Consider the following 23,888-nt stretch of genomic DNA (forward strand, 5'->3'; position numbering starts at 1 on the left):
CCTTTGCAGAATAAGAACAGTGAACATTAGCAGTCAGCTTTTGCTACTAAGAAATCTGAAGCAGAAAGTCACTAAATAGCTGAGATAGATTTACAAAGGAGAATGTGGCTAGGAAAGACTGGCTAGGAGGAGTGGAATGGGGTAAGGAGAAAGGACGCACATGGAAAATAATGTTTCATTACAATCTGAAGGTGACGATAGAGCAGAGTCTGACCTCCTTCTCCTGTTGCTGCTTATTTAAATAGAGAGGACCCAGGCCTGCTACGTTTGCAAATGCTCCATTTCCCCTCTGGAACCCATTTTTTGATGTGTTAAATAGATACTCTCTAAGATCTTTCCAGCACACAAATTCTATGAATATGGTTTAGAGGGATTTTCCCCTAATTTTCTCCTAATGACCAACAAATTATAAAATAGAAATGAAAATAAAGTATCCCCAACCACATATTAAGTTATTATCAATTATTTATCATACAAAGACAATGGGCTTAAGTCAACTCCCTACTCCCAAGGGAAGAATGAGATGCAATCAACCATTGGGTTTTGCAGTTTGGTCTTTGGTGTTCTTCAAGATCAGGGGTCCAGGAAAAACTACCATGGACTGTAAGAAACCAAGGGAAAAAGTGCGCACACAGTAATGCTACTCACTTGCTATGTGGACATGTATATAGATTTAGGAAAATGCAAAATAAAAGTTCTATAAAGATACACCCCAAACTTGTAACCTTCAGTAAAGAAGATCATGATTAGAAATAGTGGTCCAAGGGCACTTTAGCTTCATCTGTGATACATTAAGTTTTAAAAAAGAGAATGTATTTATCTCTTGCTTAGGTAATTAAAATTTAATTGTTAAATGGAGAACCTTGTTTAGGGAATGGTTGCCCAGGGAACTGCAAGAAAAAGAAGCTTAGCTGGTTGATTTCCCTGAGGACAGGTCAGTGTTCTGACCCCCGCTATGTTGTCCCAGAACTTAAGAGGTGAGTTTTCCAACTTAATTATTAATTGAACTGAGAAAAGTGACTTTCTGGAGACTGAGGGCTAATTTTGACGTTGATGTCAACATGTAGAAGCCTTTTTATAAAAAAAAGCATCTGGTTGTGTTTTCCTAACTATTGTTAAAGCAAAATTAGGTGGGAAGACAAATGTGTATAAATTGCTATTTTGGGGGACTCTTGAGAAAATAAAAATATGAAATAAACGGAGCATCAAGAAAATTAGTTCAGCTGTGGATGTAACTGCATCCTTAACTCTTTCTCTGTGAGTTGCACACACAAACACACACACACACACACACACACACACCTCCTTCCTAATCCCTTTCCTACAATTCTCAGGAGTTTAGAAGTGAAAAATCATATAATCAACACTTTTTTGAATGATTAATGGAACAGACATGTAATGGAGAATTTATAGGCACAGATCTTCCTAAATCTTCAAGCTAACCTTTGGTCTCAAATACTTCCTCTATAATCTTGATCAACTCCACTGTAAAACCACAAATACTTCCATAGTCTCCACATGCAAAGCATTCTGTACTTTTCTTTCCCCTGTTAGAACTGGTGTCAAATTCTCCCTCCTGCTATGCCCATCACCTCCATAAGAAAAAAATTCCTCTTCATGCTTTTCTCTATGGCATTCTGAATATCTAGTACTTCGTAGGAGATACTAAAAATAATAAGACAATTTAAAGCTCCTTTTCTTTTTCTTTACCAGTAACTGTGGGGGTCGGGGGAAGCAAACTAAAGTATAAGAATTAGGTTAAGAATTTGCTCTCTGATTGTACTGGGCCCATGGAAATTAAGGATGCCTTTAAAATCCAGGGTTCAAAAGGTCAATTCAGGACCATGAGAAGTATTGCAGGAAGAAGCCATCCACCAGCTACAGGCACAAGAAAGAGAATCTTTGGAAATTTAGATTATGATATCAGAGATTAGGGAGTAGCCTGACACACAGAAATAATCATTCCACAAATGTTGAGGAACCTCAGACTGTGCAGACACAATTCTTTTTTTTTTTTTTTTTTTTTTTTTGAGACAGCGTCTCACTCCGTTGCCCAGGCTGGAGTGCCGTGGTGCAATCTCGGCTCACTGCAACCTCCACCTCCCAGGTTCAAGTGATTCTCCTGCCTCCGCCTCGAGAGTAGTTGGGATTACAGGCCCCCACCACCATGCCAGTCTAATTTTTGTATTTTTAGTAGAGATGGGGTTTTGCCATGTTGGCCAGGCTGGTCTCAAACTCTTGGCCTCAAGCGATCTGCCTTCCTCAGCCTGCCAAAGTGCTGAGATTACATGTGTGAGCCACCATTCCAGGCCCAAACACCATCTTAAGATCTTGTTTAATCTTCATGACAATGCAATCATTGTCCCCATTTGCCAGATGAGAAAACTTAAGCTTAAGGGGGTGAGGTTGCATAACAAGCTGAGAATTTAACTCAAGCAGACTAATGCTAGTGCTCTCATTCATCACTACCCAGCAAGAAGGGAGGTAGGGAGGGAAGGAGGGAAGAAGAAAAAGAGAGAAGGAAAGAAAAAGAACAGATGGATGTTTGGTTCAAAGAGAGTGAAATTGAGAAATTCAGTTTTAAGAACAGCAAATACCTTGAATCCAAGTGATGTCTGGAAGGGGAGGTAAATCTTAGTCATGAGGTTCACAGAGCAACCAGGAATAGAAATACAGCAAAACCAGAATGCATCCATATGCCAAAGGAAAGTATGTCAATCAGGGACCCAATAGAAACAGCTGTCACACTTGAGTTAGGAGAAATGGAGGAAGATTTATTTAGAAAGGGGACATTTAGAGAGGTGCATGTGCAGGAGAACATGAAGGCAAGCGAAGTAACCTTGCAAGGGCTCACCATCTTCAGGTCTAAGGGACGAGGGAAGGAAGCTGTTAGCAGAACCTTAGGGAGTTGTGGAGCTTGAGAGGAACAGAGACCTTAGTCTGGGGACACACAGGCTGGCTGAGACCTTGGAAGGAAGGGCACCCATCTTTTCTTCTCCCTCCTTGCAATCTCCTGCGGGGGTTCTGCATTAGCTGAACCCAGCTAAGTGCCAAAGAGCAAGGGTTCCCTAGACTAGATGGTCAGCCACTAGGGGCAGAGGAGGGGATCTGGAGGGGAATCCCAATATACCCAGCACAGAAGAGGAGGGCAGAGCTGGTACCTGGAGACAGGTGTGAAGTGGATTGAGTAGAAAAAGTCTGAAGGAGGGGAAGGAGAGAGCTGAGGTTGCACTTTGTCTCTGATATTAACAAGTGATAATGTAATGTGAAAACACATTCAGCCACTGGGTGGGAAGTGCTGTTTTAATAGTGGGTTAGCTATCACTTGGGTGAAGATTCTTTGAGTCGTGCAGATGTTCACCTAGTTGATACCATGTAACACACTGCCTTATGGGAGTGTATTAATAGTTACCTGGGTTGCTAATACTGGAAAATGACTATTTGGGAAAAGGATGCCCAACTATTTGGGGAGCTGGGAGGATATACAGAGGTGAGAGGAGTGATGGATAAGGTGTCAGACCCAATGGTCCCTTTACTCTTCACTCAAAGGCAGAATCATGGAGGGAGCCTCTTTATTCATATCTGGACCCTATTCCCAAGGGCCCTTGATGTCAGAGTTGGGAATGAGCTATGTTAAGAAACAAAGAGCTGGGGGAGAAGCCAAGATGGCCGAATAGGAACAGCTCCGGTCTACAGCTCCCAGCGTGAGCAACGCAGAAGATGGGTGATTTCTGCATCTCCATCTGAGGTACCAGGTTCATCTCACTGGGGAGTGCCAGACAGTAGGTGCAGGACAGTGGGTGCAGCGCACCATGTGCAAGCCGAAGCAGGGTGAGGCATCGCCTCACCCGGGAAGCACATGGGGTCAGGGAATTCCCTATCCTAGTCGAAGAAAGTGGTGACAGACGGCACATGGAAAATCGGGTCACTCCCACCATAATATTGCGCTTTTCCAACGGGCTTAAAAAATGACACACCAGGAGATTATATCCCTTACATGGCTCGGAGGGTCCTACGCCCACGGAGTCTCACTCATTGCTAGCACAGCAGTCCGAGATCAAACTGCAAGGCGGCAGTGAGGCTGGGGGAGGGGCACCCGCCATTGCCGAGTTAGTTGTTTGATTAGGTAAACAAAGCAAGCTGGAAGCTCGAACTGGGTGGAGCCCACCACAGCTCAAGGAGGCCTGCCTGCCTCTGTAGGCTCCACCTCTGGGGGCAGGGCACAGACAAACAAAAAGACAGCAGTAACCTCTGCAGACTTAAATATCCCTCTCTGACAGCTTTGAAGAGAGTAGTGGTTCTCCCAGCACGCAGCTTGAGATCTGAGAACGGGCAGACTGCCTCCTCAAGTGGGTCCCTGACCCCTGAGTAGCCTAACTGGGAGGCACCCCCCAGTAGGGGCGGACTGACACCTCACACGGCCGGGTACTCCTCTGAGACAAAACTTCCAGAGGAACAATCAGGCAGCAGCGTCTGCCTGATCCGCTGATCATCACCAATATCCGCTGTTCTGCAGCCACCACTGCTGATACCCAGGCAAACAGGGTCTGGAGTGGACTTCTAGCAAACTCCAACAGACCTGCAGCTGACGGTCCTGTCTGTTAGAAGGAAAACTAAGAAACAGAAAGGACATCCACACCAAAAACCCATCTGTACGTCACCATCATCAAAGACCAAAGGTAGATAAAACCACAAAGATGGGAAAAAAACAGAGCAGAAAAACTGGAAACTCTAAAAATCAGAGCACCTCTCCTCCTCCAAAGGAACGCAGCTCCTCACCAACAATGGAACAAAGCTGGACGGAGAATGACTTTGACAAGTTGAGAGAAGAAGGCTTCAGACGATCAAACTACTCCGAGCTACAGGAGGAAATTCGAACCAATGGCAAAGAAGTTAAAAGCTTTGAAAAAAAATTAGATGAATGGATAACTAGAATAACCAATGCAGAGAAGTCCTTAAGGACCTGATGGAACTGAAAACCAAGGCATGAGAGCTACGTGATGAATGCAGAAGCCTCAGTAGCCGATGCGATCAACTGAAAGAAAGGGTATCAGTGATGGAAGACAAAATGAATGAAATGAAGCGAGACGAGAAGTTTAGAGAAAAAAGAATAAAAAGAAATGAACAAAGCCTCCAAGAAATATGGGACCATGTGAAAAGACCAAATCTATGTCTGATTGGTGTACCTGAAAGTGATGGGGAGAATGGAACCAAGTTGGAAAACACTCTGCAGGATATTATCCAGGAGAACTTCCCCAATCTAGCAAGGCAGGCCAACATTCAAATTCAGGAAATACAGAGAACGCCACAAAGATACTCCTCGAGAAGAGCAACTCCAAGACACACAATTGTCAGATTGACCAAAGTTGAAATGAAGGAAAAAATGTTAAGGGCAGCCAGAGAGAAAGGTCGGGTTACCCACAAAGGTTAGCCCATCAGACTAACAGCTGATCTCTTGGCAGGAACTCTACAAGCCAGAAGAAAGTGGGGACCAATATTCAACATTCTTAAAGAACAGAATTTTCAACCCAGAATTTCATATCCAGCCAAACTAAGCTTCATAAGTGAAAGAGAAATAAAATACTTTACAGACAAGCAAATGCTGAGAGATTTTGTCACCACCAGGCCTGCCCTAAAAGAGCTCCTGAAGGAAGCACTAAACATGGAAAGGAACAACTGGTACCAGCCACTGCAAAAACACGCCAAATTGTAAAGACCATCAAAGCTAGGAAGAAACTGCATCAACTAACAAGCAAAATAACCAGCTAACATCATAATGACAGGATCAAATTCACACATAAAAATATTAACTTTAAATAAAAATGGGCTAAATGCTCCAACTAAAAGACACAGGCTGGCAGACTGGATAAAGAGTCAAGACCCATCAGTGTGCTGTATTCAGGAAACCCATCTCACATGCAGAGACACACATAGGCGCAAAATAAAGGGATGGAGGAAGATCTACCAAGGAAACAGAAAACAAAAAAAGGAAGGGGTTACAATCCTAGTCTCTGATAAAACAGACTTTAAACCAACAAAGATCAAAAGAGACAAAGAAGGCCATTACATAATGGTAAAGGGATCAATTCAACAAGAAGAACTAACTATCCGAAATATATATGCACCCAATACAGGAGCACCCAGATTCATAAAGCAAGTCCTGAGTGACCTACAAAGAGACTTAGACTCCCACACAATAGTAATGGGAGACTTTAACAACCCACTGTCAACATTAGACAGATCAACGACACAGAAAGTTAACAAGGATGCCCAGGAAGTGAACTCAGCTCTGCACCAAGCAGACCTAATGGACATCTACAGAACTTTCCACCCCAAATCAACAGAATATGCATTCTTTTCAGCACCACACCACACCTACTCCAAAATTGACCACATAGTTGGAAGTAAAGCACTCCTCAGCAAATGTAAAAGAACAGAAATTATAACAAACTGTCTCTAGACCACAGTGCAATCAAACTAGAACTCAGGATTAAGAAACTCACTCAAAACTGCTCAACTACATGGAAACCGAACAACCTGCTCCTGAATGACTACTGGGTACATAATGAAATGAAGGCAGAAATAAAGATGTTCTTTGAAACCAATGAGAACAAAGACACAACATACCAGAATCTCTGAGACACATTCAAAGCAGTGTGTAGAGGGAAATTTCTAGCTCTAAATGTCCACAAGAGAAAGCAGGAAAGATCTAAAATGGACACCCTAACATCATAATTAAAAGAACTAGAAAAGCAAGAGCAAACACATTCAAAAGCTAGCAGAAGGCAAGAAATAACTAAGATCAGAGCAGAACTGAAGGAAATAGAGACATAAAAAACTCTTTAAAAATTAATGAGTCCAGGAGCTGGTTTTTTGAAAAGATCAACAAAATTGATAGACTGCTAGCAAGACTAATAAAGAAGAAAAGAGAGAAGAATCAAATAGACACAATAAAAGATGATAAAGGGGATATCACCAGTGATCCCACAGAAATATAAACTACCATCAGAGAATACTATAAACACCTCTACGCAAATAAACTAGAAAATCTAGAAGAAATGGATAAATTCCTCGACATATACATCCTCCCAAGACTAAATCAGGAAGAAGTTGTATCTCTGAGTAGCCCAATAACAGGCTCTGAAATTGAGGCAGTAATCAACAGCTTACTAACCAAAAAAAGTCCAGGACCAGATGGATTCACAGCTGAATTCTACCAGAGGTACAAAGAGGAGCTGGTACCATTCCTTCTGAAACTATTCCAATCAGTAGAAAAAGAGGGAATCCTCTCTAACTCATTTTATGAGGCCAGCATCATCCCGATACCAAAGCCTGGCAGAGACACAACAAAAAAAGAGAATTTTAGACCAATATCCTTGATGAATATCGATGCAAAAATCCTCAATAAAATACTGGCAAACTGAATCCAGCAGCACATCAAAAAGCTTATCCACCATGATCAAGTTGGCTTCATCCCTGGGATGCAAGGCTGGTTCAACATACGCAAATCAATAAATGTAATCCAACATATAAACAGAACCAAAGACAAAAACCACATGATTATCTCAATAGATGCCGAAAAGGCCTTTGACAAAATTCAACAACCCTTCATGCTAAAAACTCTCAGTAAATTAGGTATTGATGGGACGTATCTCAAAATAATAAGAGCTATCTATGACAAACCCACAGCCAATATCATACTGAATGGGCAAAAACTGGAAGCATTCCCTTTGAAAACGGGCACAAGACAGGGATGCCCCCTCTCACCACTCCAATTCAACATAGTGTTGGAAGTTCTGGCCAGGGCAATCAGGCAGGAGAAGGAAATAAAGGGTATTCAATTAGGAAAAGAGGAAGTCAAATTGTCCGTGTTTACAGATGACATGATTGTATATCTAGAAAACCCCATCATCTCAGCCAAAATCTCCTCAAGCTGATAAGCAACTTCAGCAAAGTCTCAGGATACAAAATCAACGTACAAAAATCACAAGCATTCTTATACACCAATAACAGACAAACAGAGAGCCAAATCATGAGTGAACTCCCATTCACAATTGCTTCAAAGAGAATAAAATACCTAGGAATCCAACTTGCAAGGGATGTGAAGGACCTATTCAAGGAGAACTACAAACCACTGCTCAACAAAATAAAAGAGGATACAAAAAAATGGAAGAACATTCCATGCTCATAGGTAGGAAGAATCAATATCGTGAAAATGGCCATACTGCCCAAGGTAATTTATAGATTCAATGCCAGACCCAGCAAGCTACCAATGAATTTCTTCAAGAATTGGAAAAAACTACTTTAAAGTTCATATGGAACCAAAAACGAGCCCGCATCGCCAAGTCAATCCTAAGCCAAAAGAGCGCAGCTGGAGGCATCACGCTACCTGACTTCAAACTATACTACAAGGCTACAGTAACCAAAACAGCATGGTACTGGTACCAAAACAGAGATATAGACCAATGGAACAGAACAGAGCCCTCAGAAACAATGCCGCATATCTACAACTATCTGATCTTTGACAAACCTGACAAAAACAAGCAATGGGGAAAGGATTCCCTATTTAATAAATGGTGCTGGGAAAACTGGCTAGCCATATGTAGAAAGCTGAAACTGGATCCCTTCCTTACACCTTATACAAAAATTAATTCAAGATGGATTAAAGACTTAAATGTTAGATCTAAAACCATAAAAACCCTAGAAGAAAACCTAGGCAATACCATTCAGGACATAGGTATGGGCAAGGACTTCATGTCTAAAACACCAAAAGCAATGGCAACAAAAGCCAAAATTGACAAATGGGATCTAATTAAACTAAAGAGCTTCTGCACAGCAAAAGAAACTACCATCAGAGTGAACAGGCAACCTACAGAATGGGAGAAAATTTTTGCAACCTACTCATCTCACAAAGGGCTAATATCCAGAATCTACAATGAACTCAAACACATTTACAAGAAAAAAACAAACAACCCCATCAAAAAACGGGCAAAGGATATGAACAGACACTTCTCAAAAGAAGACATTTATGCAGCCAAAAAACACACGAAAAAATGCTCATCATCACTGGCCATCAGAGAAATGCAAATCTAAACCACAATGAGATACTATCTCACACCAGTTAGAATGGCGATCATTAAGAAGTCAGGAAACAACAGGTGCTGGAGAGGATGTGGAGAAATAGGAACACTTTTACACTGTTGGTGGGACTGTAAACTAGTTCAACCATTGTGGAAGACAGTGTGGCGATTCCTCAGGGATCTAGAACTAGAAATACCATTTGACCCAGCCATCCCATTACTGGGTATATACCCAAAGGATTATCAATCATGCTGCTATAAAGACACATGCACACTTATGTTTATAGTGGCACTATTCACAATAGCAAAGACTTGGAACCAACCTAAATGTCCAACAACGACAGACTGGATTAAGAAAATGTGGCACATATACACCATGGAATACTATGCAGCCATAAAAAATGATGAATTCATGTCCTTTTTAGGGACATGGATGAAACTGGAAACCATCATTCTCAGCAAACTATTGCAAGGACAAGAAACCAAACACCGCATGTTCTCGCTTATAGGTGGGAATTGAACAATGAGAACACATGGACACAGGAAGGGGAACATCACACACCAGGGACTGTTAGTGGGGTGGGGGCAGGTGGGAGGGATAGCATTAGGAGATATACCTAACGCTAAATGACGAGCTAATGGGTGCAGCACACCAACATGGCACATGTATACATACGTAACAAACCTGCACGTTATGCACATGTACCCTAAAACTTAAAGTATTATAATAATAAAATTTAAAAAAAAGAATCTAAGAGCCATAAAAGACAGAAGAACATGTCATTCTGGCAGAGGATTCTCTATGTTCCTAGAGGGCTTTGAGGTATAGTGAAGGGAAAAGTTAAAAATACAAAAAGCAAAAGCAGCTCCTTTCATGGGGCTGTTTGTTGTCAGAGCCATAGGTCTTGTTCAAGGAGCTGTGATCACCGCTACTTCATGTTGGTAGCTAGGGCACCCAGATAGAGTACAAGTCTTCAGAATGGTGAGGAGCAACGAATGGCTCTGCCCTGTACAGGTAAGAAAGGTTCTGCCTGGTATAGGTAAGAATGTCCGCCCTGTGGCCAGAACAGGATGCTCTGGAGGAGAGGGGCTTGGTCTTAACTGGGTCAGAGCCAGGTTAGGAAATGGACCAGCAGCCCAGGGGGCCAGTCCACAAGGACCACTACACATCACTGGGATACTTTGGAAATAAGATGTCTATTAACTCAGATTTTTCTTAAACCACAGGTGGAATGCAAATTGGTCCCAATATTGACTAGAAATTATCTTCAGATAGAAGCAAATGGCAGTGTCAGCCAATGCAGACCTACCTCTGGAGAAAATGTTTGCCACTAGCTTTTATAAACTGCAAGATTCAACTATGGAACATGCAAGAATTGCCAACTGACCATCACTTAAAAACAAAATCTGGATAGATAAAATTTTGGAAGTGAGAAATGCATGATATAGTGCTGCTTCCTGGGGGGCCAGTTGTTTTGTTATTTATACTTTGAACCTTTAAAATCTTTTGGCGCAGCATGCTGGCTCATGTCTGTAATCCCAGCACTTTGGGAGGCCAAGACAAGCAAGTAACTTGGTCCCAGAAGCTTGAGACCCACCTGGGCAACATGTGAAACCTTGTCTCTACAGAAAAAACACAAAAATAGTCTGGGTGTGGTGGTACATGCCTATAGTCCCAGCTACTTGGGAGGATGAGGTGGAGGATCATCTGAGCTCCAGAAAGTTGAGGCTGCAGTGAGCTGAGATCTCACCATTGCACTCCAGCCTCGGCAACAGAGTGAGACCCTGTCTCAAAAAACAAACACACAAAACAAAAGAGAGAGAGAGAGAGAGAGAATAAACTTTCTAAGCAGTTGTCTGATTTGTGAAATTGCAAAAAAAAATTTGAAGAGGGGGCACAGAAAAGGAGGAAGTGTTCTTTAGTCAGTGAATAGATGAAAGGAATTTGTATTGAACACACACGTTATTCACTTGAACACATTTGTTCTCTGTCCCCATCGAATACAGGCTGAAGAAATATTTAGAGAATTCTGGCTTGAAAGGGTAAAAAACTAACAACCTGCCCCAGTCAGTCCCCCATGGTTACTGAACTCTGGAAGATTTTGCTGGAGAAGTCTGAGAGTCCAGTTCTACAATTTTACACAATTTGTTAAATGTAAAACATTGCTTTGGCTTCACTTACTGATTTTCCTTTCTCTCCCATTTCTGACTAACTCAAATTTACTGGGTGCCTGCTATATGCCAGGATCCAAATGTTGAACATAACTTATTTTGTTTCATACCCAAGGGGCTGTAAAGGACACACAGACTGTGAGCGCAGACACATTTTAGACTTGCACTGTCCAATACGGTAGCCACTGGCCACATATGGTTATTGAAATTTACATTTATTGTAATTAAGTAAAATTTAAAATTCAATCTCTCAGTTGCACTAGCTATGTATTAAGCACTCAATAGCCACATGTGGTTATGACTATGCTGCTGGACAGCACAGTTATAGAGCATTTCTATCACTGCAGAGAGCACCATTGGATAGCACAGTTTTAGACCTTTCAGAGTTGTCTCTACCTCCTGTGAAATCATTTTAAGCAGAAAAGCTGCCATTCATTGAGCACTCCTCTGGGCCAAGCAAGCAAGATTCTGGGTCAGTTACATAAGATCATCTCACCACAGCTCACTGCCTCACGTCTCAACGCATTTTAATTTTTTTTTTTTTTTTTTTGTAGCGCCGTGGTCTCACTTTGTTGCCCAGGCTAGTATCGAACTCCGGGCTTCGAGCAGTCCTTCTGCCTCAGCCTCCCAAAGTGCTGGGATTACAAGAGTGAGCCATTGGGCCCAGCCTCACCCCATTTTAGAGATGAGGAAACCTGAGGATAGAGAGGCCAAGTAGCTTTCTTACCATCGCACAGCAAGTGAGCGGCAAAGCCCAGGGCGTTTGACTTTAAAGGCTTTGATAATTCTGATGGCCCCACCTTCCAAGGGCATTACCCCCAAGTGTGAGTGAGAGCACCACTGTGGACAAGAAAGAGCCGCTGGGGATCCTGGCCCTTTTGACAGGAAAAGTGGCCATGGGGTCAGACAGGCTAGAGGACCAAGGCTGGTTCTGCCAATGACCATGTCAGTGACATTGCCCAAGCCACTTAGATCTCTGAATATATGTACAGTGGTGGAGCTCACCTTGTAGAGCTATGAGGATTAAATGAGAATATACACATAAGCACTTGGCACAGTATCTGGCACACAGTAGCCATTTAGTACATGGCACACATGAGTATTACTTCCGGAGTGAATCCTTTTCTTCTGTTTAAGCAGCAAACAGCAAGAGTTGCCTTGCTCCCTGCAATACACATTTCTGAGTCTGGCATGCCACCTGCTGGTCACTCCTGGATATACCATCCAGTCCCCTGTTCTCCCCAGAAGGGCCAGTGCCCAGAGTGTTCCCAGGAGACTGGGCTGTAAAACAGGAACATCCTAGCTGAGTATTCAGATTTTTTTTTCGTAAAGTCCCTTTCACATTGTGGCTCCTCTGAGAACTTAGGATAAGCTTAGATCTTGCTAAGTTTGCTGAAATCTTCTTTGTTGCCAGGCAGATAGAGAAGATGGACTTCTTTGGGGCCCTGTGCTCAACGTTAGGCTATGTTGCCAGGGTCTTCTAGCTGCAGGCTATCTAAAAGCACAGGGTCTTTACTATTATGGCTGGCATTCCCTTCGATCTGATGCTGAATATAAGTCCCACCTCTCCACCCCATATCCTATCAATCTAAAAGTCCTGTTGGGTTTTTCTCTGTGAAATATATTTAAAATCTGTCTAAGCCCCTTCATATTCTCTGCCACCATCATCCCTCACCTGGACCACTGCATTAGCCTCCTGATCTTCTTGCATCTCCTCCCTTCCCCCTGTTGTCTATTCTTCACGCAGCAGCTAGAGCTGTGGTCCTACCTGCTGTAGCTATGGAATGCCTTGGGGAACATTCAAGACCTACCAACACCCAGGGGCCAAACCCTGACTAATTAAATCAGAATCTAGGGGTAGTGGGTAGAAGGTCTCTCAACATTCGTAGCTCATGAAAGCTCCTGGATGATTCTTTTTATTTTTATTTTTCGAGACAGAGTCTTGCTCTGTCACCCAGGCTGGAGTGTAGTGGTGCCATCTCGGCTCACTGCAACCTCAACCTCCCAGGTTCTAGCGATTCTCTGGCCTCAGCCTCCCAAGTAGCTGGGACTATGTGTGTGCCACCACACCCAGCTAATTTTTTGTATTTTTAGTAGAGATGGGGTTTCACCATGTTGCTCAGGCTGGTCTCAAACTCCTGACCTCAAGCGATCTACCTGCTTTGGCCTCCCAAAGTTAGATGATTCTTTTGTGCATCCAGGATTGAGAATCACTGAGCTTCCAGTTCAGACCAGCAGTAGCAGCATCTCCTGGAGGGCTTGTTAAAATACAGACCGCTGAGTTCCACTCCCAGAGCCTGTGATTCATCAGGCCAGAAGTGGACCTGCGAATTTCCATGCCTCACAAATTCCCAGGTGACCCTCCTGGGCTGAGGTTCACACTTTGAGAACTACTGTTGTAAAAATATAAGGTGGACCATGAAACTCCTGTTTAAATGACTTATTACACTTATATATGTATATTTTAAAAATTCACCTTCTGTACCATGGCCTGTCAGGCAGGGTGAGACCTATCAATCTAGAAGTCCTGTTGGGTTCCTAGCTCCTGGCCTCTCACACCCTCTGCTAACCACTCACTGGCCTCCTATCTGCCTCTTGACCACCGCAGGTGGTCACCTGAAGACCTTTGAAAGAGCCTTTCTCTGCTCAGATGGTGCCCCCTTTAGCTCTTCTGCTGTCTGATTGTCTCTCAGTCTTCAGGGCTCATAGAAATGTAACCGCCTCAGGGAGACCTTCCCTGAATGTCACATTCAACATATGTCTCACCTTCCCCTCAGCCCTTGTTCTCTATCTCAGCAAACTGTTTATTTCCTTTATCTATTACAATTTGCAATTATGTTATTTCTGTTCACTTAAAATACATTTACCTCTCTGCCAGAAGACAAACTTTAAGAGGGCAGAAACTTTGCCTTCTTGTTCACTCCCTGGGACATAGTAGGTACCCAATAAATGGTTACTGAATGAAGGGTTGAAGAGAAGCACGAATCAGGGAGTAAAGGTTAGAAGTAATAGTACTAATAGAAGTGGGAGCCCTGTCCTGCTTCTGTTATATCCCCCGAGGGCTTCCTGTGTGCTCATCTTTTAATATTACATCTTTAATTCACATAACCGGGCAAGGTAAGGTCATATTCTCTTCAATTTACACATGTGGAAATGGAGACCTAGAAAGGCCGGGACACTTGGCTGAGGTCACACACATCAAAATGGCAGAGCTGGCCATGAATTCAGGCTGCCTGTATCCACATTCATCCTAAGATATGGAAGGAAGGAAAAAAGAGGCAGCAAAAGGAGAACTGGAAAAGCTGTTCCCGCAGGGCATTTTTTTATTTTGCTCTAAACTCGTAGCCAAGGTAAAAATATTAAAACAGAGCTGAAATCAAAGAACCCTTGACCTACTTTCTAGGTCTGATTCTCCCAGAACCTCTTCAGAAGAGAGTGATCAGGCAATGATGGGTGTCTCAACTTTTAAGACTTTTAAAATTGCTGGCTCAGAGCCTTTGGAAGAATAGCACAGGCAGGAAATGGCAAGGCAGGATCTGAACCCAGCCCAACTTCCTGCACAGCCTGCCCAAGCTTTCGCACACAGCACAGAGAGTATCTCATTCAACGTTCTTTTGCAGTGCCCCGCCTCCTTACTGTGCTGGTTAAGGTAACATTCTAGATGCTGTAGCAGATAACCAGTCTCCTCCCCAAACTCAATGGCTTCACGTAATAAAAATTTCTCTTTCACCTCCCAAAAAGTCCAAAATCAGTGCTCCTAGTTTGCAGGCAGAGTAGTCTACTCCAAGCAGTATTTCAGAGACCCAGGCTTCTTCCATCCGGTGGCTCTTCCATGTCTAGCAGGTGGCCTCCCATTGTGGCTAGGGAAGGGGAAGGAGGAGCATGAGATGGGTCAGGCCTGGAAGTGGTGCATGTCATTTCCACCCACATGTACTGGCCAGAACTCAGCGACATGGTCATACTTAACGGCAAAAAAAAAAAAAAAAAAAAAAAAAAAAAAAAAAAAAAAGCTTCGAAATAGAACCTAGTGGCCAAAGCTGTCTCACAGCCAACCAGTCTCATTTCCTGAGAGTCTGATGAGCTTCTGCGTCCCCCCACCCGCCCACCCCTGCCCCACTGCCCCCAGACATCTCCTCTCACTGATAAAATAATTATCACAATTATAGAGAAGACTTCAAATGCAACCAGGAGAAGGGCCACCTTGATCTTAAATTCAGATCATACAGAGGTAATGACGGGTCTCCAATGTTCCTGCAGAGGAGGCTGAAGGTTTAGAGAAGGGCAGGGGAAAGAAGAAGAGGTTAAACGTAAAATTTGCTCAAGTCCAGGCCTGGCTAAGAAAGGAAGATGTCTCTATCCACCATTTTGGTGTTGTTAACAAAGTCTACCTTGAAGTCAATTCTAGATATTTTAGAATTTCTCCAATTAAGCAAACATTTATCGAGCATCCAAAGGTTTGCATAGTCCTAGGGAGAGTCCTTTGGGATATCAAATAAAGGGATGAATGAATATGAGGTGAGGTCAGCTCTATTCTTTATCTGGTTGAGATTTTGAAGACACTAGTAATAAAAATTTGACACAATTATAATAATATCCAGGGCTGTATTCAACACTTGATATAAATTATCTCATTGAATCTTCCCAATAATTCTATGAGGTAAATACTATTATCACCCCCATTTTACAGAAGAGGAAACAAACCTAAAAAGATGAAATAGTTGTCCAAAATCTCAATTGCTCCAAAGAAGAGAAAAGAATGATTTTTAACTACACGACACTGCCTGTATTATGAAATTACAGTGCTGTCTGCACATAAAGACAGGGATAATTCAATTGGCTTTGGAAAATAGAAGGAAGTTTAGAGTTCTAAACAGTTATTGGGCTGGGCGAAGTGGCTCACGCCTGTAATCTCAACACTTTGAGAAGCCGAGGTGGGAGGACTGATTGAGGCCAGGAGTTCAAGACCAGCCTGGGCAACATAGTGAAACCCTATCTTTACAAAATTTTTTTTTTTTTAATTAGCCAGGCTTGGTGGCACATGCATGTAGTCCTAGCTACTTGTGTGGCTGAGGAGGGAGGATCCCTTGAGCCCAGGAGTGCAAGGCTGCAATAAGCTATGATTGTGCCACTGCAGTCCAGTCTGGGCAACAGAGCAAGACCCTGTCTCAAACAAAACAAAAAACAGTTAACTGAATCCAAGAACAGGTCGTAACTGGGGTTAAGAGTCCCCTGTGTAATTTAAAAAGTGACTTTGAAGCCAAGCAAGTTGTGTGACTCTAGAGGAGGAGACACTTTGTCTCCCTATTCTTCAGTTTCCTCTTCTGCAAAGTAAGGAAGCTGGCCTAGATGTACTTGAAGTTCCTTTCTTCCTCTGTAAAAGCAGCATGGCAAATGGAAAGGGCTGATATTTTCATAAGCCAGATTCAGGGAAACTCTTTCTGCCTATCTGAGCCTCCATTTTCCCATCTATGAAATGGGAATTAGGTCGGATTTGCTACTTTTTCTCTCCCTAGTGTCTAGCACAGGGAAAATAATAGGGGCTTAATAAACCTTGGTCACCCCATTAATGTCCCCACCTGATTGGAGATGGCAGCAATCCATTGCATGCACAGAAGGCAGAATTGCATGAGTAGAGGTCTGCCTCTGAGCTCTGAGCTGCTTCTGAGAGCACAGGGTGTCAACCTCCCTCCTGAGGCATCGTGGCCATTTTGGGAACAGCTGGCTCCTGGCCCAGAGAAATGGCCTGCAGTTGAGGAAGCAGAGTGTAACGTTTCACAAAGCCTCCCTTGCCACCTCTGCCCATACCCCACACCCTCTCCCTCATGCGCAGGGCAAACTCTGGCCCCAACGAATCTGGATTTCCAGCATTCACTCAGAATCCCCAACAGGCAAGTTCACGACTTTGGGGCACAGAGTTCAGAGAGAAAGAATATTAGATGTCCCCGCAGGCCTCCCCAGCAAGCCTTATTTCTTAGAATTACTTCAGGGATGCTCCCAGGAGCCTTGCCCGCCTGGCAGATATTGAATAAGGTAGAAGCCAGAGTGGATGAAAAGCAGTGTCTTGGAACGGTTGCCTGGTTACCGGTGACCTGGGTCACGTGGTCTCCTCCCTTCGGAGCGGCCCAGGGCGAGCCGGCAAGGAGCAGGAGTGCAGGGGAGGGGCATGAGTTCCCGGGGAAGGTGGGGAGGGGAGGAGAGGCGGTGAGAAGCAGCTCCTCTACACTGCGCTTTCCTTTCCCGACGGCCCGACTGCCCGCATGTCGGGCCAGGACAGGAGCACCAGGCCACCTGGGTGGGGAGCTTGGCTCTCTTGCTTCCCTGGTGGAGGACGTGGACAAGTTAACTCAGCCTATGGGCAGCTGTCTTTCCTCACCTGTAAAATGAGTCTAATAATAGTGCACACCTCACTCAGTTACGACAAGGCTGCAAACAAGAAAACAGGGAAAAGAGGCCCAGCACAGGGCCGGGAACGCACTAGACTGAACGTGAATACACCGGTGTTGTCCAGCGGTGCTGAGTGCTGGGGGCTGGTGGCCAGAGCAACAGAAGTCCTGAGTCAGGACAGCTACCTAATGTGACAGCCCAGGGCACATTGCAAACACAAGCCTTTTGTTCCACAGGCAGGAGAGAGGTACCCAAACATAAAGCCCCACCCCACTTCTGTGGCCCCTCTTGTGCTGTGTATTTGCTATTTAATGCTATGCTACCTTGGGCATGGAGCTACTGGAGAGGAGCACGGAGGCCCTCAAGGCACCCAGGAGCCTTCCCCTGCAGTGTGGCCCACCAGTGCCCATCTGCTGCCAGGTCCCCTACACTGAGGCAAGAGGACCCGGAGAAGGGAAGCCAGGCATCCTCCTTTCCCACAGGCCCTTCACCCCAATCCATGGTGGACAGGTACCCCCACATCTTGCAACCTCCATGTCAGAGGCTCTAGCATAGGGGAAAGGCTTGCCCTGCCAGTTTCCCCCCTTGAAGGCACCACGATGTCATCAACCTCTAGGGCAGGCATGGCTGCAGTCGTGTCCTACCCAAATGCTGTGGGATGTGCATGCTCAGCCTCCCGTGCCAGTGCCCTGCAGATAGCAGACTGGCAGCTGTTGGGGGGAAGAGAGAGAAGAAGGGATGTGAGGAGGAGATAGCAGGGGGTTGGGGAAGCTGGCACTGAGAACCCACCTGGTGAGGGAGGGGCCGGACTGCACTTGAACTGAGGCTGTTGGCCTGGGTGCCTGCTGTGTTATCTCACAGACTTCATTTACAAACTACACATTTACAGATAAGATATGAAGAATTTCAAGACACGACAGTAGAACATTAAATCCCTAGCACAGGCTTTTGTGTCACTGAGCTGGTTGCACACCAGCTGACCCTCTTCTGAGTTCTTGTTGTGGCTCTGTCACTAACTCTCCCTCTCTGGGCCTCGGTTTTCCTTTCTCTAAATGAGGGGGTAGGGCTAGATGGTTTCTAGACCCTCTTCCTGCTTTTATGTTTCATGATGTGTCCCACTAACATGCTGTGTGGACATGGGCAAGTCCCTTCCCTTCTCTAGGGATCAGTTTCCCTGTCTATAAATTGGGAATTTGGGAATCCTGAAGGGCCCTGCCAGGGTTACTGCTTAGAGAGATGCCTTTTCCCATCCTCTCCTGTGTTTGAGGGGACTTCTTTTCTTTTGCAGAAGGGAAGACAAAGTTGCCCAGCAGGTGCTGGGGTATGGGGCTGGATAGAACATTCCTTTTCTCCTTCTGCCCACACTGGTGAGTTTGGGGACTGTGGGGCAAGAAAGAAGGGAGGGAAAGCTCCTTAAGGAACAGAGAGGCAAAGAAGCATCATGTGAGAAGGTAAGCAAGCAGGCAGCCTTGGGAGATGCTTTCATTCAGTCATTCATTCAGCAACAGCGAAACAGCAAAAGAATGTAACACTCACCGTATTTGTGTAAGGGGCTTTAACCCATGCCCGCGTGTAGGCTAGGATAATTTTAGAGCACTGAGATAATACACAAAAACAGCAATCATGTAGTTTTAAAAGCCAACTCTGGGGTTATAGGGAAAGTATGTAAACAATCATGTTTTGTTAAAGATCCATATAGATAATACACAAAAACAGCAATTATGTAGTTTTAAAAAATAACTCTGGGGTTAAAGGGAAAGTATGTAAACAACTGTGTTTTGTTAAAGATTTACAGGAGCATTGTGACCTGACCAAGGACAAAGAAGTTCCCAAACTCCTCAGGCCCTCACTGGCACCCAGAGGTCTGCAGTCATCAGTCACATCTTGATCCCAACTCCCTCTTCTTCCCCTGCCCTTAACATAAAAAAAAGCCTGAAATTTGTGCTGACTTAAGATGGCATTTTAGGATGGTAGTCTACCATTTTCTCCGTTTGCTGGCTTCCCGAAAAACCTGTTTTTCCTCCCACCAAGTCTCATTTCTTGAGTTTTGGCTTTCAAGCAGAGAGCAACTGAACCTGGGTCCGGTTACAATTCATTCATTCATTTGTTCATTCATTTGCCTGGATGATTGCAGCAGCCTCTGCCCCTATCTCCCTGCTCTGTACTCACTCCCTTTCAATCTTCTGCTCCTCACAAGGGCCTAAGGGAGCTTCTGATGTGATAAACGGAATCATGTGGTTCCTCCTGAAAGCCTTTATCAGTTAGAATTAGGTTTAGCTGTGACAGAAAATGCACACTAACAGTGGCTTCAGCAAGATAGATGCTTTTCCCTCCCTCCCAGAAGCATCTGGCAGCTGGCTACCTGAGACTATGGCAGTTCAACGGAGTCAGGAATCCAGGCTCTGTCTACATTGTGGCATCTCCAATCCTGGCTTTTATTTCCAAGGTCACTTCAGAGTCTGAGATGGTGCTGGGGTTCCAGCCATTTAATCTATACCCCACATAGCAGCAAGGAGGAGTGGGGACACACATCCCCCTTTCAAAGATACTACTCAGAAGTTGCATACACCACCCCAGCTTGGATTCTAGCAGCCAGAGCTTAAGTCACATGACCACATCTGCAAAAGAGGCTGGGAAAAGTTGTTCTTATTCCAGGCAGCCACATGCCCAGTTCAACCTTGTGGATTTTATGAATCAGGACAAAGGGGAGAATGGATACTTGTGGACAATTGTTGATCTCTGCCACGTAGTCCTTCCATAGCTCCTTACTGCACTTGAAATAAAACCCAAACTCTTTCCTATGCCTGCAAGGTCCTGGCTGTTTTCCCACCCTCTCTCTTCACTCATCCTGCTTCAGGCCTGCTGGCCTCTTCCCGGTTTCTCAAAGACCATAGTTGTTTCCCATCCAGGGCTATCTGTCCACGCTGTTTCCTGGTTGGAATGCCTTCACCCGACTCTATGAAACTCTGTCCCTTCTCCTCTTCTAGGTCTCAGCTTGCATATCACCTTCTCACAGAGGCTTCCCCAACCACCATACTTCTCCTCATCATTTTTTCTTGGGTCCTTTTTTGTTTCTTTATAGCATGAAAGACGCCTTGGAACTAGCTATTAAATTATCTGATAAGCAAAACAAAGCACGAATGCTCATATCAACGGTTGCTCCCCTTTTTGGTTTGTCTCCCCCATTCAAAAGGAAGCTCTATGGGGGAGGCTTTGGGTCTTGTTCACAACCCCATCCCTGGAGTTTCTCTCTACAACTATGTATTGTTCTCCCACTAGGTGCCAGGAACCTAAAAGACAGTAAGCACATTCAGTTTTCATCTCAGCTGCAGGGCAGCCAAGAGGTGAGGATTGGGGTTCATCTCCTGGAGAGGAGGCAGAGATCTCAGCAGAGACTGGGATAAAGGAGTCCAGTAAGATTGTAAGAAGAGCCCTGCAGCTGCCAGGAATGGGATTAGGGTTCCTTTTAGCCTCATTGCTGGCTCCATCCTATGTCTCCACCCTTATGTGAATGTGTTCCTTTGTCCTACTTTTAACTTACATCAGACTCTTGCGTGTTCCTTATCCTCCTAAGCAGCTTTGCATCCTTTCTGGAAGAGGGTGGGGGTATAAACAAACAAACAAATACACTATAAAAATACAGGAGATATTTTGGTGTATGCAGTTGCCAGGAATAGAAACCTACTCCAAGCAGTGCCAGACCTCTCTGAATTACAAAGCCAAGCGAGCATCCAGCAGTTTACTTGCCCTATCTTCCTAGGTGCCTTAAAGGACCTCAACTGGATGTGTCCAGAAAGCAACTCAGTCTCCCTCAAACTGGTCTTCGCCCAGTATTGGTAAACCAGTTGTCTAAGAAGCCTACCGGCTACCCTCAGTAGGTAGTATTAATATAATGTAGCAATTTGCAACAGGGTTTCTCAACCTGGGCACTACTGACATTTTGGGCTGGGTAATTTCTTGTCGTGGGGACTATCTTGTGCATTGTAGGATATTTAGCAGCATCTCTGTCCTCTATCCCTAGATATCAGTAGCACTCCAGCCCCAGCTGTGACAACCAACAATGTCTCCTTTGAGAATCACTGGTTTAGAAAAAGGACTTGAACCTCAGGCTCTGTGTTCACATCTCAACTCAGACTGTGTGCTATGGAACCTTGGACAAGGTATTTAAACTTTTTGTGCCTCAAGTTACTCCTTTATAAAGTGAGGAAAATCATACATTGTCCTTCATGGATTAAATGAGCTAATATATGTAAAGCTAATATATGTAAAGACTTAGAATGATGCCTGGCACCATATTAGCTATTATTATTACCTTTGAAATTACTCCTTACCTTCCCCTCATTCCTTAACCAAATCCATCATCATTTCTAGATAATTTTAATTCACGAGATAATTTTACTCTAAAATCCACCCACCTTTCTCCAACATCACCCTTGCCCAAACCACCGGCATCTCTTACCTCTGAATAAGGCTTCCTGCAATTCTCACTCAACAGAGAAGCCGGTTTGATCTATTTAAATCCTTCCATGCTTAAAACCAGTCTACCAAGTCCCATTGTTTAGGAAAATGCCCTTCACCAATGGGCTAGAGATTAAACAAACATGACCCTGGTCCATCTCTACAGCCTGTCTCCTGACTTCATCTTGTTTGCTAATTTCAGCCACAATATTTTTTCTCTCCGTTTCTCAAAGATACCATTCCCCCTCCTAATTTCAAGGCCCTTAAGTGTTCCAGACCCTCTGCTTGAAACCTCAGACAAGGCTATTTTCAAAGCAGTGATCAAGGACTTTTTTCAAAGTAAAGACCAGCCACTTCCCTGGAAAAGCAGAAAGAACGTAAGTGATTGAGCCAGGCAGGACCGCCTTGTCCACTGGGGTAGTGTATGCACTGCACAGACAAGCTCAGCTAAGGAAACAAGTAGGGACTGCAACTCATCCCAAGCTCCACTTGTCAAACCACACCCTGGTGCAGAGCCATCTGCTTCCCAAGCTGTTTTTGTGCAGAGCTGTGCTCTTTGAAAAAGGGTTATTTTTGTTAATTTGCAATGAAGGTGCCACACAGCCTAGTGGCAACCCTGTAGTCAGAACACACAGTAGGTTGATAGTAATGGAGCTACATTTTAACATGTACATTTCTTGTCTCCTGTAAAGACAATGAAGATAAGAGAAGAGACCCATTATGCAGACTGACTAGCTCTCCTGCACTGTTTCTTTCTATAGTTAGAAAGTGAAGCTGGGTGCAGTGGTTGGCAGTTGTAATCCCAGCTAGTCAGGAGGCTGAGGCAGGAGCATCACTTGCACCCAGGAGTACGAGTCCAGCCCAGGCAATATGGTGAGTCTCCATCTCTAAAAAAAATGTTTTTTAAAGCGAGATGTTCTTGCATCACTGGTATTAGTACAGAGCTGAGGCAGGCTTGAGGAAAACCGTCCCTTACTTTGTACACTGAGCAATTGGACAAATTTCAAGTCTTGGAGTGAAGCCATTAGTACTTTTCATAATTAAATTCATAATAAAATACCTTCTGGGAATTCAATATCTTTTTAAATTAACTATTCTTATTAACCTCATTCATCTGTCTCATAAAAAATGTAAACTAAGCCTAGCCATAAAGAACCCATATCCCAGCAAATATAATTAGCACCAAACATTTAGCCTCACAGTTAATATACTTCTGAGCCAAAAGGGACCTCAAAGATCACCTAGTACAAACATTCACCTTAGTGATGAGAAGCTTGAGTCTCAGAGGTTGAAAGCAATGTGCCCTGTATCACCGGGCTCAGGTCATTGCTAAGAGTATACCCAGGTCTCCTGTTTGCTAGGCCACACTAGAAAAAGAAAAGAAAATGAAACCTCACTTCCTTACCAGGTAAGAACTGTACATGAAACCCGTGTTTCTGATTACTTGGTCTTTATACAAGGGGTACTTTTCCAGGGTACTGGTTGGTGAGTCTGTGTCCAATCAAATTATAATCAATTACAAAACAATATTGGTTATAATTAATAGTTTTTTTGATACAACATATTTGAGAGTATCTCTCTCAGACAAAATACAGAGCCTGGGTTGCCAAAGCCCAGGCAAAGACAAGTTTTATCTTTCTTCTGTTCTTTAATAGGATCAAGGCCTCTGAGACTACCATATTTTAAGCAAACCTAAGACCGGCACATGTAGATTTGCAGAATATAAAAGTGAGTGCTTCCCAGAAAGGGCTGACCAGAAGATTCCAAGAATATTTCCCTTGCATATTTAAATGA

At 44.0% G+C, this 23,888-nt stretch overlaps 1 long non-coding RNA gene across 7 annotated transcripts in view, besides 3 other annotated features; it reads right to left on the reverse strand.

Moving 5' to 3' along the window:
* LOC105377123 (uncharacterized) overlaps nucleotides 1-22,126 on the reverse strand; it is a 40,740-nt gene extending 18,614 nt beyond the window's left edge. For 4 of the 7 annotated variants that reach the window (XR_007095945.1, XR_940913.3, XR_007095944.1 and 1 more), the window contains exons 1-3: nucleotides 17,234-22,126; nucleotides 16,829-16,995; nucleotides 14,983-15,112 (exon numbers count right to left, since the gene is read on the reverse strand). This is a non-coding gene — a long non-coding RNA (uncharacterized LOC105377123). The remainder of the gene's footprint in view (nucleotides 1-14,982; nucleotides 15,113-16,828; nucleotides 16,996-17,233) is intronic. The other 3 variants (XR_007095943.1, XR_001740731.2, XR_940909.3) reach the window with 3 other exon arrangements.
* Nucleotides 16,570-17,513: an enhancer, noted in NCBI's record as "H3K27ac-H3K4me1 hESC enhancer chr3:64474389-64475332 (GRCh37/hg19 assembly coordinates)". NCBI's record gives its function as "activates a minimal SCP1, AML or CMV promoter by ChIP-STARR-seq in naive H9 embryonic stem cells {active_cell/tissue: H9 hESC(naive)}" and the evidence as "EXISTENCE:reporter gene assay evidence [ECO:0000049][PMID:30033119]".
* Nucleotides 17,514-18,457: an enhancer, noted in NCBI's record as "H3K27ac-H3K4me1 hESC enhancer chr3:64475333-64476276 (GRCh37/hg19 assembly coordinates)". NCBI's record gives its function as "activates a minimal SCP1, AML or CMV promoter by ChIP-STARR-seq in naive H9 embryonic stem cells {active_cell/tissue: H9 hESC(naive)}" and the evidence as "EXISTENCE:reporter gene assay evidence [ECO:0000049][PMID:30033119]".
* Nucleotides 19,736-19,936: a silencer, noted in NCBI's record as "peak4681 fragment used in MPRA reporter construct". NCBI's record gives its function as "represses an SCP1 promoter by STARR-seq MPRAs in K562 erythroleukemia cells {active_cell/tissue: K562}" and the evidence as "EXISTENCE:reporter gene assay evidence [ECO:0000049][PMID:32103011]".
* Nucleotides 22,127-23,888: the final 1,762 nt, after the last annotated feature.

Source organism: Homo sapiens, chromosome 3 (assembly GCF_000001405.40).
Source record: "Homo sapiens chromosome 3, GRCh38.p14 Primary Assembly".
Lineage (NCBI taxonomy): Eukaryota > Metazoa > Chordata > Mammalia > Primates > Hominidae > Homo > Homo sapiens.